Source organism: Homo sapiens, chromosome 10 (genome assembly GCF_000001405.40).
Source record: "Homo sapiens chromosome 10, GRCh38.p14 Primary Assembly".
NCBI classification, from domain to species: Eukaryota; Metazoa; Chordata; class Mammalia; order Primates; family Hominidae; genus Homo; species Homo sapiens.
The window spans coordinates 17,762,098-17,776,320 of record NC_000010.11 but is presented as its reverse complement, the minus strand read 5'-3'; the positions used below and the strand labels follow the sequence as shown (position 1 = coordinate 17,776,320).

The 14,223-nt window shown below is 40.2% G+C and overlaps 1 protein-coding gene across 2 annotated transcripts in view; it reads right to left on the bottom strand.

Moving 5' to 3' along the window:
* The window catches only part of TMEM236 (transmembrane protein 236), a 48,668-nt gene that overhangs the window by 24,548 nt on the left and 9,897 nt on the right, over nucleotides 1-14,223 (bottom strand). The window contains exons 1-3 of one of the 2 annotated variants that reach the window (XM_017016574.2): nucleotides 6,360-8,212; nucleotides 4,940-5,012; nucleotides 151-292 (exon numbers count right to left, since the gene is read on the bottom strand). In XM_017016574.2, the coding sequence (XP_016872063.1) occupies nucleotides 151-292; nucleotides 4,940-5,012; nucleotides 6,360-6,430 (286 nt within the window). In that variant the 5' untranslated portion in view covers nucleotides 6,431-8,212. Of the gene's footprint in view, nucleotides 1-150; nucleotides 293-4,939; nucleotides 5,013-6,359; nucleotides 8,213-14,223 lie in introns of those variants that run through there. The other variant, NM_001098844.3, reaches the window with a different exon arrangement.

Sequence of the window (14,223 nt, the reverse complement as noted above, 5' to 3'; positions counted from 1 at the left end):
TATGTTTAGATATCTTCATTTGCAATCTTCTATCAGTAATGTTAGCCCTAAGAAAAGGTATCATTAAACATGTTGTCAGATAACACAGTGGCAGAAATGTGAAAAATATATCAAACTTTAAAAAATATTCACATTTAAAAGAACACTTACTCTTTTGACTCCCTCTAAGAGGATATATCCTGAGTTTTTCAATAATATCAACCATGATCAGGGATAACAGAACCAGAGATACGGGCAGGTCAGGTAACATATCAGGTAAGACATCAGCGGACCCATTAATGCTCTTTTGAACCTGTTTAGAGAAAACCATTTACAAGCATTAAATTATTGTGCTTTCTTTGCTCAAAATGCTTTCAATAGTCTGAATGCAGCACTAAATTAATTATAATTACATTTACTAAAAAACTAGAAGGTTGGTTTTTAACTCATCAGGTTTTAAATGCCACAAGGTTTTGAATCATTTCTAAAGCTGTCATAAGGACTCATATCAATGGAAGCATATTTTCAGTTAAAGACAGACCTTGGTAAATACATGCAAAAAACAGTAGTGGGCTCCCTGTAATATTGAAGGGGTAACTCCTTCCAACTCTACTGCTGAGCAGAGCTTCTAAGAATCCAGCCTCAAAGAGCTAGAAGAACAAATATGAACATTTAGAGTCTTCCAAGAAGACAGAACTCAGATAATTCTGGCTAGACTTTGGGACACTTCCTTCGTCTGCTTAAAATGTTTACAAAAAGCTACGGCAAGGCCAGGTGTGGTGGCTCACACCTATAATCCCAGCACTTTGCGGGGCTGAGGTGGGAGGATTGCTTGAGCCTGGAGCTCGAGACCAACCTGAGCAACAAGGCCAGAACCCAAGTCTATGAAAAATTTAAAAATTAGCTGGGTGTGGTGGCACACATCTTTGGTTCGAGCTACTCGAGAGGCTGAGATGGGAGGATCACTTGAGCCCAGGAGGTCGAGGCTGCAGTGACTAGTGACTGTGACACTGCACTCTAGCTTGGGTGACAGAGCAAGACCCTGCCCCACAAAAAACAGAAACAAAAACAAACCACAATAACAAAAAACTATGGAAAGCATTGTATTAATGATGAAATATTGAAAGTTTTCCCTCTGAAATCAGGAATAAGACAAAGATGCCACCATGGCCACTTCTGTTCAACATTGTCCTGGAGGTCTTAGCCAGGGTAATGCGCCAGAGAATGAAATAAACAGTGTAGGCTGGTTGCAGTGGTTCACACCTGTAATCCCAACACTTTGGGAAGACGAGGCAGGTGGATCACCTGAGGTCAGGAGTTCGAGATCAGCCTGGCCAACTTGGTGAAACCCCATCTTTACTAAAAATACAAAAAAAATTAGCCAGGCATGGTGGCACATGCCAGTGGTCCCAGCTACTCAGGACACTGAGGCAGGAGAATTGCTTGAACCCAGGAGGCAGAGGTCGCAGTGAGCTGAGATCATGCCATTGCACTGGCCTGGGCAACAGAGTGAGAGAAAGAGAGAGAGAGAGAGAGAGAGAGAAAGGAGGTAGGGAAGGAGGGAGGGAGGAAGGAAGGAAAAATGATACTATTCAATGCAACTTCAACCACTGTTGCAACTTTTTGTGGAAAAGGACAGGCTGACAATAAAATTTATATGAAAATTAAAAAGGCAGGAAATTCTGGAAGAAAAAGAATAAGCTAGGAAGATTTACTCTTCTGGATATAAAGAACTAGTATAAAGCTGCAAGAACTAAGACAGTGTAGAGTTGGCATAGGAATTATGTATATCTACACTTGATTTATAACAAAGGTGGCACAGCAGAGAAATGTGGGAAGGATGGATTTTTTAGTAAAATGGTGCTCGGTCCATTGAATGTTATGTGGGGAAAAAAATTAACTCACTGCTGTACAACATATACAAAAATCAGTTCCAGATGTATTGTGAATCTAAAAAAGAATGAAGAAACAATATAGCTTTCAAAATATAATTAGGAGGCTGGGCACAGTGACTCACACCTGAAATCCCAGCACTTCAGGGGTCCAAGGCAGGTAAATCACTTGAGGTCAGGAGTTCAAGACCAGCCTGGCCAACATGTTGAAACCCCATCTCTATTAAAAATACAAACATTAGCCGGGTGTGGTGGCACATGCCTGTCGTCCCAGCTACTTAGGAGGCTGAGAGGTGAGAATCACTTGAACCCAGAAGGTGGAGGTTGCAGTGAATAGAGATTGCACCACTGCAGTCCAGCCTGGGCAATAGGGCAACACTTCATCTCAAAAACAAACAAACAAACAAACAAACAAACAAAAATATATATATATGAAAGATTTTAAGACTTTGAAATTCAGATTCACAATGACAAAATCTTCTACAAGTGAGTGACCCAAGCACTATCCATAAAGGAAAGCAATAAACTGGACTATTTTTAAGTTAAGAACTTCTTTTCATCAAAAAGATATAAAAGTGTGAAGACAAGTTACATAAAGATATTTGCAATACATATAATCAAAAAAGGCTTGTATAATCTGAATATGAAAATAAGTCTTCCAAATACGTTTTTAAAAGATAAGCAACACAATAAAAAATGGGCAAGATGAAAAGATGCTCAACATTGTTAATTACTGGAGAAATGTAATTTAAAAGTACAGTGAGATTCAGGATCGTACCCACCAGAAGAGCTGAAATAAAAAGACACAATGATGCCTGGAGGGGTGCCTCACACCTGTAATCTCAGCATTTTGGGAGGCCGAGGCGGGTGGATCACCTGAGGTCAGGAGTTCGAGACCAGCCTGGCCAACACAGTGAAACCCCGTCTGTACTAAAAATACAAAAATTAGCCCATAGTGGTGGTGGGCACCTGTAATCCCAGCTGATGGGGAGCCTGAGGCAGGAGAATCGCCTGAACCTGGGAGGCGGAGCTTGCAGTGAGCCAAGATCACACGCACCACTGCACTCCAGCCTGGGCAACAGAGAAAGACTCTGTCTCCAAAAAAATAAGAAACAACGCAAGCGCTGGTGAATGCTCCTTCTCTGCTGGTGAGTTCTATAGAGATGCTATAGAAATCAGTACAATCTGTTTGAAAAGCTGTTTGACCTTATCTCTCACAATTTAACATTTCAATATCTCATGATCCATCAGTTCTGCTCCTGCATACATAACCAACAGAAATGCTTGCTCATGCACACCAAAAGACATATTCACAGATGTTCACTGCCGCATTCTCTGTAATTGCCAAAACTGGAAACAACCAAGATGGCGACCAAGAGTAGAACAGATAAGTAAATTATGATCTTTTCATAAAATGTAATACTCTACAGCTGAAAACGAATGAGCTTCAGGTATTTACAGAAACAGGAATGACCCTCACAACCATATTTTAAATAAAAGAAGCCAGACATCATTTGATTTCTCCTTGGAAAAATTTCAAAAACAGACAAACTAGCCTGCAGTATCAGAAGTCAAGTTAGAAGTGACTTCTGGAAAGGAGGGAAAGGGAGTCATTGAAAGGAGCATAAAAAAAGAGTGAGCAAGCAATGGGTTTCTGATACAAAAATAAAATAAAATAATAAATAAAAATAAAGGAGTGTGGGCATGGAGCCGGCCAAAGTTTCCTTCTTGACCTTGACTTGAGCGATGCTTACCCAGGGGGTTGCTTTGTGGTATTCCATTGTTACTGTACTTGTATGTTTCGTGCACTTTTCTGTTTATGTGTTATACTTCGGTGAAAATTAAGTAAGAAAAAAAGGAAAGGAAAGAAAAAGATGTAACAATGGAAGAGACATCATAAAAAAGAGCCAAAAAGGGCTATCGAGCTCCAGATATGCCATCAGTTTACCGCAGTGATGTTTCTTAAAAGGTTGTAAACTAAATTTTTACAGCTTTTGAGAACCTTCCAAATGATTTACAAGGTCTTTGAGAGGGGAAAAGACAGATCTAGATTGAAATATTCCCTGTTGCAGTTCACTGGAAGCAAAGCACATGTGAGTAACCTCCCAAAATTATTCTATGCCTTCATACATTGTCCTAATTTAGCATCTATGATGTATTCTAGCAGCACCTACAATGCATTCTAACAACCATGTAATTTCTAATGTCATACATTACTCGGTACTGCCCTGTCTCACAACACTTGTGATACTTGTTCTAATTGCCTGTTTATTTTTCTCTCTAATGTCAGAAAATTATATGAGAGACTCGGCCATATTTCCTGGGTCCCCTATGCCCTGTACCTAACAGTGCCTGGCCTGTAATATATACTTAATGAATATTTGCTTCACATACAAGTGAAATATCACAAGGTAAATTAAGTAATTTAGTAAATTAAGTATGCTTTGGGAAAATAAAAGTTATCTTCCACAGCACCTTGCAAATCAATAAGATTAGTGGGGCATTCTTCTCTGACCTTCTTGGATAATGAAGTACTTACAAGCCTGAAAGTTCTGCCTAAGATATTCCTGCCCTGCTGGTTTCTATCCAAGATCTTTTGAAGCTATATTTAGTCAAAACATAAACTCAGTATTATTTTCAAATAAATAACACATGCAAATTATTATCAATGGACATCTTATCAAAGGTATTAAAATGTAAGTGGTCCTTCCCTTAGATCTTGTTGTATTCATTTACAATTGAGGACAATCATGAAAAACATCAGGTTGGTAGAAGAAACAAATATAGATCAACTTTCACATTTTTCACTTTTTAAACGTTCAAATATCATTACTGTCTCACACACAAACACAAAATTAATTTTTAAAAATTGGCTACTAGACTTTCCTTCACAATCACAGAGGTAACAATGATCTCAGTACTTTAAATAACATATATTGCAACCTGGAAGAAGATTGGATTACATAGATGTCAAGAAATTTGTTGAGCACGCTGCTCTATCAAATTCCAATAACAAGAAATTATAAAATCTCATAATCTTGTAGCAGAAGAAATCAAAAATTCCATACCTCAGTCACTGCTATGGAAAAGGTGAGGCAGGGCAGTGTGGTGAGGACCACACACATCATCAGAACAGGTCTCCTAGCAAAGGAGAAAAAATAAGCCAAAGCAATCATGGACAAGATCGACAGTTCCTCTTACATTTTGCTAATTTTGCAGTTCCTGTTCCATTCATCTATAGTTTTTCTAAGAAGCTGCTGCTTCCCTATTTCCATTTCCCAAATGTTTGCATATGGCAAAGAGGAACACGCGCAGAAACCAGAATGCTTCTTCTAGAACAAAGGGGTGAGAGATTTCCAAATAATTAGCAAACCACAAACTATTAAAAGCATCAAATCGCAAGTCAAATGACATTCAACATGTTCATAATTCATTAATTAAAATCCTGCCCAAGAGGTCAGGCTGTAGTGACCAACTGAATAAATGAACAGCATGACTTTCAAGTTATATTATATCCCATGTTGTAAAATTTATATTTCAAAAAGTACATTTAGAGATGATAAACTATTAAATATTTAAAGATCACTTAAAAACATTTACATTTTTTTACTAGAACCAAAAAAAACCATACACACATAAAAATGACATAATTTTTCAAACTTGTTTTTGGACCACTTCTTAAACCTTGCATGATCAACCAATCAAATAGCTATTGAGATATAATATGTAGAAAATAGTATATCTTATGACACAGAAAATTTAAATGTGGCCGGGCACGGTGGCTCACGCCTGTAATCCCAGCATTTTGGGAGGCCAAGGCAGGTGGATCACGAGGTCAGGAGATCGAGACCATCCTGGCTAACATGGTGAAACCCTGTCTCTACTAAAAATACAAAATATTAGCCGGGCGTGGTGGCGAGCACCTGTAGTCCCAGCTACTCAGGAGGCTGAGGCAGGAGAACGGCGTGAACCCGGGAGGCAGAGCTTGCAGTGAGCCAAGACTGTGCCACTGCACTCCAGCCTGGGCGACAGAGCGAGACTCTGTCTCAAAATAAATAAATTAATTAATTAAAAAAATAGAAAATTTAAATGTATGTTTAGCATCCTTAATTTATGGGACAAGAAAAGATACCTGCTCAAAGGTTTTCTACAATGAAATATTTACCTCCTCTTTGATTCGTTAATATATATTATGTTAATTCCATTTATATAATGTTTTCTATGTACAAGCAGTGTTGAATGCTTTCAAATTATTAATTTCTCCACAGTCATAAAAAAGAATGAAATCATGTCCTTCGCAGCAACATGGCTGTAGCTGGAGGCCACTATCCTAAACGAATTAACTCAGGAACAGAAAACCAAATACTGTATGTTCTCACTTATAAGTGGGAGCTAAACGTTGGGTACTCATGGACATAAAGGTGGGAATAGACACTGGGGACCATTACAGAGGGGAGGGTGGAAAGGGGTCAAGGGTTGAAAAATTACCTTTTGGGTACTATTCTCACTAACTGGGTGGCAGGATCAGTCACACCCCAGACCACAGCATCATGCAACATACCAGTGTAACGAACATGCACATGTACCTCCTGAATCTAAAATACAAGTTGAAATTATAAAGAATAAAATAATAGAGAACAATTTCTCTTTGGCGCTGTCTTGCCTCCCCCATCCCAGCACCATCTTAGATGTCCTAGGTGTAAATATAAATTAGAAGATGAGATTACCCCTCTCTCATGGCCAGACCCAGTATAACCTGGCTAAGACCAGCCTGATGGAATTTTCAACTGGTAGCTTTGTCTGTTTGTCTGAGCCAAGATCCAAGTTCCTACAACACTAAGTTCTCTAAGTAAGATTGGACAAGCCACTCATAAAGTTCTCTTCTTCTCAACCTGACCTCTAAACGATGACAATGCCCCAGAGATTATTCCCGGGCTTGTTCTTTATCTATATTATCTTCCTGGATTATCTCATCCGTTCCCATTGCTTCAAATACCACTCATTTGCCCAGGACTCCACAATATATTCTGGTGTTTTTCCTGAACTCTGACTTGTCTACCCAACTGTTAGGCACTTCCACTTGGATGGCAAAGACACAACTCAGACTTACCATGTCCGAAACAGAACCCAAGTCCTCCTCCATACTTGTTCCAGCCCATCATCTAATCCTGTCTGATTTACTGCCAAAGTCCACTTCAAACTCCTTTTCTGCCAACACCATAGTTCATCCACTGTCACCTCTCATCTGCCGTATTTCCTAACTGGTTTCCTGTTGGTGGTTCTATTCTTGCCTAGCAACATTGTCTTCACGTTTTTTAAATGAAGTCATGCTTTTAAAATGTAAAACACGTCTTGTCACTGCTCCAATGTTGGGGAAAGGAAGGGGTTATTGGTTAATGGGTATAAAGCTTTAGTCCTGCAAGATGAAAGAGTTTTGTGGATGGATGGTGGCAACAGTCACACAACAATGTAAATGTACTTAATGCCACCGAACTGTACCCTTAAAATGATTAAGATGGTAAATTTCACATTATATGTATTTTATCACAATTTAAAAAAATCTTTGATGAACACACAATGTAATTAGAAGAAAACTGAAACTTATTACCCTAGTCTACATGCTGTACATGATATGGTTTCTCTCTTATTGCTCCTACTCTCATATATAGTATAGGAAACACATACAGGCACACACACACACACACACACACACACACACACATGAGTTGTATACATAGCCCTATGACTACCTAGAAATCTGCTGATTCTTTGTTTATTGTTTGTCATCTTCCTCTTTCCTCATCCCCCGAGGTAAGTTCTGTGGAAGCCCGGACCGTATCTGACTTGTTTGCTACTTTATTTCCAGCAACTAGAATAATGTTTCTGAATCATTTTTGTGCGATGAAACTTCGGAGAATCTAGTGAATCCTATGAAACCTTCTCAGGACAACATTTTTAAATGAGTAAAATAAAATATACAGATTTTTAGAAAATAAATCAATTATATTGAAATTATCCAAATTTTAAAAATTACCTAAAGTCTTTTTTAAAAAAATTGTATACAGTTTATGGTTCTTTTTTAAAGAATTATGTAGTAATCCAAATTCTTTTTAAAGTTTAAACTTGGATGAGAAACAATTTAATCATTTCTTTCATTAACCTCATAACAATATATGTGCCTATCTATGAACACATTGTCTTTTTTTTATTTTCTTTGAAGCAGGCCAGGCCTGGTGGCTCATGCCTGTAATTCCAGCACTTTGGGAGGCCAAGGTGGGTGGATCACTCGAGCCCAGGAGTTTGAGACCAACCTGGGCAACACAGCAAATCCTCGTCTCTACAAAAAAAAAAAAAAAAAAAAAACCACAAAAATTAGCGAGGTGTGGTGGTGTGTACCTGTAGTCGCAGCTACTTGGGAGGCTGAGGCAGGAGAATCTCTTGAACCCCAGGAGGCAGAGGTTGCAGCAAGCCAAGATCACGCCACTGCACTCCAGCCTGGGTGACAGAGCGAGACACTGTCTCAAAAAAAAAAAAAAGATGGGGAGTACTTAAGATCTAGTAAAAATTGTAATCACTCATAATTTCAAGATAGTGAAGATCATAAACCATATACTGAAGTCTCTCCTACAACCGTTGTGACATATGAAAAGATCTGTGATACATGGTCTGAAAAGCTCTATGTAATAAAGTTACAGGTCCTGCTAATATTACTGTGGTTTGTTACCAACATCCACATCAGAAAAGACTGGTAGCTTTCAATTAGAGGTTAATGAAAGAAACAATGTAAATTGTTTCTCATCCAAGTTCAAGAACTTCATGATGCTAGAGAATGTCCAACACATAGTAGGAATTCAATAAATACTAAATGAAGGGACTCATTAATAAATAAATACAACCCAAGTCTATGTTTTATTTAACCAGAAGTTATGTTAATCTGTGTTTGAAAATCTTGACTTACTGCTCGTATATGCTTATATATATATATTTTTTGAGATGGAGTCTTACTCTATCACCCAGGCTGGAGTGCAATGGCTGATCTCAGCTCACTGCAACCTCTGCCTCCCAGGTTCAAGTGATTCTCCTGCCTCGGCCTCCTGAGTAGCTGGGATCACAGGCACATGCCACCACGCCTGGCTAATTTTTGTATTTTTAGTAGAGACGGGGTTTCACCATCTTGGTCAGGCTGGTCTGGAACTCCTGACCTCGAGATCCACCCACCTCGGCCTCCCAAAGTGCTGGGATTACAGGCGTGAGCCACCATGCCCGGCTGGATATGCTTATAATTTGTTGAGTATTATGGGTCAAATGGTGTCTCCCCAAAAAGATATGTTGAAATCCCAAACCCCAGTACTTCAGAATGTGATCTTATTTGGAAATAAGATCTTTACAGAGATAATCAAGTTAAATAAGATCATTAAGGTGGGTCCTAATCCAATATGACTGGTGTTTTTATAAAATTGGGGAAATTTGGTGACAGAGTTGCACAGAGGGAAGACTGTGAAGAAACTCAGGAAGCATATCATGTGATGATGAAGGCAGAAATCACAGTGATGCATTTACAAGCCAAGAAACATCAAAGATTGCCAAAAAAAAACAACAGAAGCAAGGAGAAAGACATGGAACAAATTCTCTCTCATATCCCTCGGAAGGAAGCAATCCTACCAATATCTTGATCTCAGTGTTTTCAGCTCTGGAATTTTGAGGCAATAAATTTCTGTTGCTCAAGCCATCCAGGTACTTTGTTGTCGCATTTCTAGGAAACTTAACGCCAATTTTGCGACTGCAATGTGGAATGCTGCTGTAACACCTAAAGATGTAGAAGTGGCTTTGGAGTTGAGGAATGAGTAGAGACTGGGAGAGTTGTGAGAAGCACAATAGAAAAAGCCTAGATTGCCTTGAAGAGACTGTTGGTAGAAACACAGGTGTTAAAGGAGATTCTAGTGAGGGCTCAGAAAGAAAAGAGGAGGGATATAGAGAAAGCTGTTAGCATCTTAGAGAGTAGATACATTGTCATGAACAGAGTATTGCTAGAAATATGAATGCTAAGGTGCTTCTGGTGAGGTTTAAGATGGAAATGAGGAACATATTATAGGAAACTGGAGGAAGGGTGATCCTTTCTATGAAATGGCAGAAAATTTGGCTGTACCGTGCTCTGTTGGATAGAAAGTAGAACTTGTAAGTAATGAACTGAGATATTTAACCGAGGATGTTTCTAAGCAAAGTGTTGAAGGCACAGCCTGTTTCCTCCCTGCTGTTTACAATAAAATGTGAATGAAGAAAGAGAGATAAGTTGAAAAAGGAATTTTTAAGCAAAAAGGAACTAGAACTTGAAGATTTGACAAATTCTCAGGCTATCCATATTGCAAATGATAAGAAACTATGCTCAGAAGAGAACACCAAGGCTGTGGTTTGTGAATCCAGTCAACCATCTCAGCAGAAATACTGCTGTCTTGGACTGAAGGTTGCAGAGGTAAGATGAAATGAAGGAATGCTGTTGGACTTCTAGGACTCCAGGGAGAAAATGGGTTGATGGAGCTATTTGGCTGCAAATGTGTTATCTTTCAGAAAAGGGAAAAATGACTTTGACAGTGGTTCCAAAGCCAGGGAGACTGGTGCTGCAACCACAAGCCCAGAGGCGCCCAACTTAAAACCACAGGGCAGAGCTATGACCATGCAAGGCTGAGGGGTTGGGGCCACTACAGTCATAGGCCTGGATGATGGGCTCAGGAATCAGCATCAAGACACAGAGGATTATTTTTAAACCTTAAAAGCTAACGGGATTTTCCTTCCTAGCTTTTGAACTTGCATGGGACCCACGACTCCTGTTCCCCTTCCAATTTCTCCCTTTCAGAATGGTAATGTCTATCCTGCTCCACCATTGTATGTGGGAAGCAAGTAACTTTTTGTCCAGCTTCACAGGTTTGCAGATGGAAAGAAACTCTGACCCAGGAGGAATCATATCCCAAGTCTTGCCTATACCTTGTTTGGATGATTTTGAGGGAAAGTTTTGGGATTTTGAGTTGATGATGTGTAGTTGAGATTTGGGACTTAGAGTTGATGCTGGGATGATTAGGACTTTTGGAGGTGTTGAGATGAATGAGTCTATTTTGCACACCAAAAGAACATGAATTTTGGGAGGGTCAGAGAGTGAAATCCTATGGGTTGAATTATATACCCCAAAACAGACATGTGTAAGTCCCAGCCCCCAGTACCTCCGAATGTGACCTTATTTGTAAATAGGTCTTTATGGAGGTCATCAAGTGAAAACAGGGTGTAAGGGGAGACTCTGATCCAATATGACTGGTGTCCTTTTAAAAAGGGAAAATCTGGGGCTGGGCGTGGTGGCTCGTGCCTGTAATTCCAGCACTTTGGGAGACTGAGGTGGGCAGATCACAAGGTCCAGAGATCAAGACCATCCTTGCCAACATGGTAAAATCCCATCTCTACTAAAAATACAAAAATTAGCTTGGCATGGTAGTGCGCGCCTGTAGTCCCAGCTACCCGGGAGGCTGAGGCTTGAATCTGGGAGGCAGAGGTTGAGGTGAGCCAAGATCGCACCACTGCACTCCAGCCTGGGAGACAGAATGAGACCCCGTCTCAAAAAAAAAAAAAGGGAAAATCTGAAAACAGACATGCAGGTGGGGAAGACTAAGCGAGGACACATAGGAAGAATGCCATGTGAAGATGAAGGCACAGATCAGAGTGATGCATCTACAGGTCAAGGAACACCAAAGATTGCCAGCAACCACCAACAGCCAGGAGAGAGGCACAGAGCCTTCCTTACTTACATCTCTCACAAGGAACCAACCTTGCCGTCAGCTTGATCTTAGACTTCTCACCTCCAGAACTTTCAGGTATTTCAGAATTTGAAACAAATTTCTGTTGTTTAAGCCACCAAGTTTGTGATACTTTGTTATAGCAGTCCTAGGAAGTACTACAAATAACAGAATTTAGGTTGGAAATACAACAGACACTTCTTTGAAAGACTATTCATGCTGCAAAGAATGCAAGTTTGCGACCACAGTAGGATTGGCTAAAGAAAAGGATACGTGGGCATGGTGTAATTTCCACATGAAAGACTGAGTTAGGGTACTGCCGATAGATCTCTGTGTGCATCATAATAAACTGGCAATGAGAGGGACCCTCCTAGGAATGGGACCTATTAACGATGAACTCAGTAAGCTCAGCCACATTGGGTTACAAATTCCTGTTTGTGCAGCAAGGATTCTGGCCCTGAGATTTCTCATAGAGGAAGCATGGTGGGTGGAAAGGATCAGATGAGAACTTGGGAGATGACACTCTGCTCAGAAACATAAAACTTTTTACCTAACTCATGAAGTTAACGTTTCCCTGCCCATCTTTCAAGGCTCTCCAAAATCTAGTATTAACATTCCAACATATATTAACACTCAGCTCTTTACGACAACTCAATGAGTTCATATCATGCCACAGGCTAAGCGCTACAGGAAATAATTTTACATACGACAACCCCACAACAACCCTCTGAGTGAGGTATCAACCCTTTTTTTACAGGTGATGAAACTGAGGTTGAAGGCTGAATTAATTTGCCCAAGATCCTGTGGCTGGGAAGTGAAAGATGAATTCTAATCCAGGTCTTGAGGACTCCAAAACTCACGCCCCTAACCACTCTGCGATGCTGCCAACCCATTTCTCACCACCTGCTCCTTTCTAAGCAAGTAGGTCTTTTCCCACCTCTTAAATAATTCACTATATCAACTCATTCCTCATACTCATCCTCCTCCTCTGGATGCCCTCCCACACCCATCTTTCCAAGCTCAGTGAAAATCAAGATTTCCTTATGAGACTTTCTCTGATTACTCCAAAGCACAGTGTTTTTCTAATAAGCCTGAGTCCATAAACCACATGTGCTAAAAAGCTGCTGACTTCAAGGCACTGTAGTGGGCTGATGGGGCAGGGTAGAAAGGGATGGGTAGGAAGGATGAATCAAATAGGACATCTCCCTTACTGTCAGCATTGAGGGTTTTCTTTTCTTTTTTTAATAGAAAGACAGGGTCTTGCTATGTTGCTGAAGCTGGTTTCAAACTCCTGGCCTCAAGTGATCCTCCCACCTCAGCCTCCCAAGTAACAGAGACTACAGTCATGCACCACCATGCCCAGGTAACTTTTTTTTTAACGTCCTGTAGAGACAGGGTCTCGCTGTGTTGCCCAGGGTGGTCTCAAACTCCTGCTCTCAAGCAATCTTCTTGCCTCAGCCTACCAAGTCTGTGCCCAGTAAGCACTAAGTTTTGATGATGCTCTTCTCTGGGATATTAAAGGACTAGTGGTGGGTCACATAAAATTTGGTGGTTTGTTATAAATTGGTTTATATCATTTTCTAGTTTCTTCATATGCAACTATCCAGACTCCACAGTGGACTACAGAGTCCCTGAGGATGGAGGCAGTACCTGAGCACAAAGGCTTGTACCTGCAGTAGCCTGGAAATAATGCTGGCTAACATGAAGAATTCGTGTAGGGAGGCTGGGCATGGTGGCTCATGTCTATAATCCAAGCACTTTGGGAGGCCGAGGCAGATGGATTGCCTGAGTTCAGGAGTTCGAGACCAGCCGGGCAACCTAGCAAATCCTGTCTCTACAGGAAATTTAAAAATTAGTCAGGTGTCATAGTGCACACCTGTAGCCCAGCTACTCAGGGAGGATCACTTGAGCCTGGGAAGTTGAGGCTGGAGTGAGCTATGATCATGCCACTGCACTCCAACCCGGGTGACAGAGCAAGACCCTGTCTCGACAAAAACCTAAATATATATATTTATATATAATAAAACCTAAATATATATATATATGTATGTGTGTATATATATATATATATATATATATATATATATATATATATATATGAAATTCAGATAGGTAAATATATACCTATTTAAACAAACCCATAGAGCAGACTCATGGATCACTATTAACCCAGAGGATTTCTAGTAAAACTAGGTTTAGTCAATCATACACTCTGTTATGAAATAGGTGACATCATTGCAGTGGAAGCCAATTGCATTATATCAATACACGAAGTCAGTAGCCACATCAAGAGGACATCAGGGTGTCACTGAGATAATATCGAGGCATTAAAAATCCAGCCAGCATCCCAAGGAGACTTTCAAAAGAGTCAAAGGTCCAGAAATCATGGGATAGGAATGGTTGATGGAACTCTGCCCATTGGAGAAGAGAAAACTTAGCAGACTGAGATGTGGCGTGGTTGAGATGGCAGAATGATGCCACTGCCTTCAAATGTTGCAAAAATTTAACAAGGATACAGTAAGCTCAGAGAAGTCACCCCTGGAGACACAATTTGGGGAGCTGTCACCATACAAGTG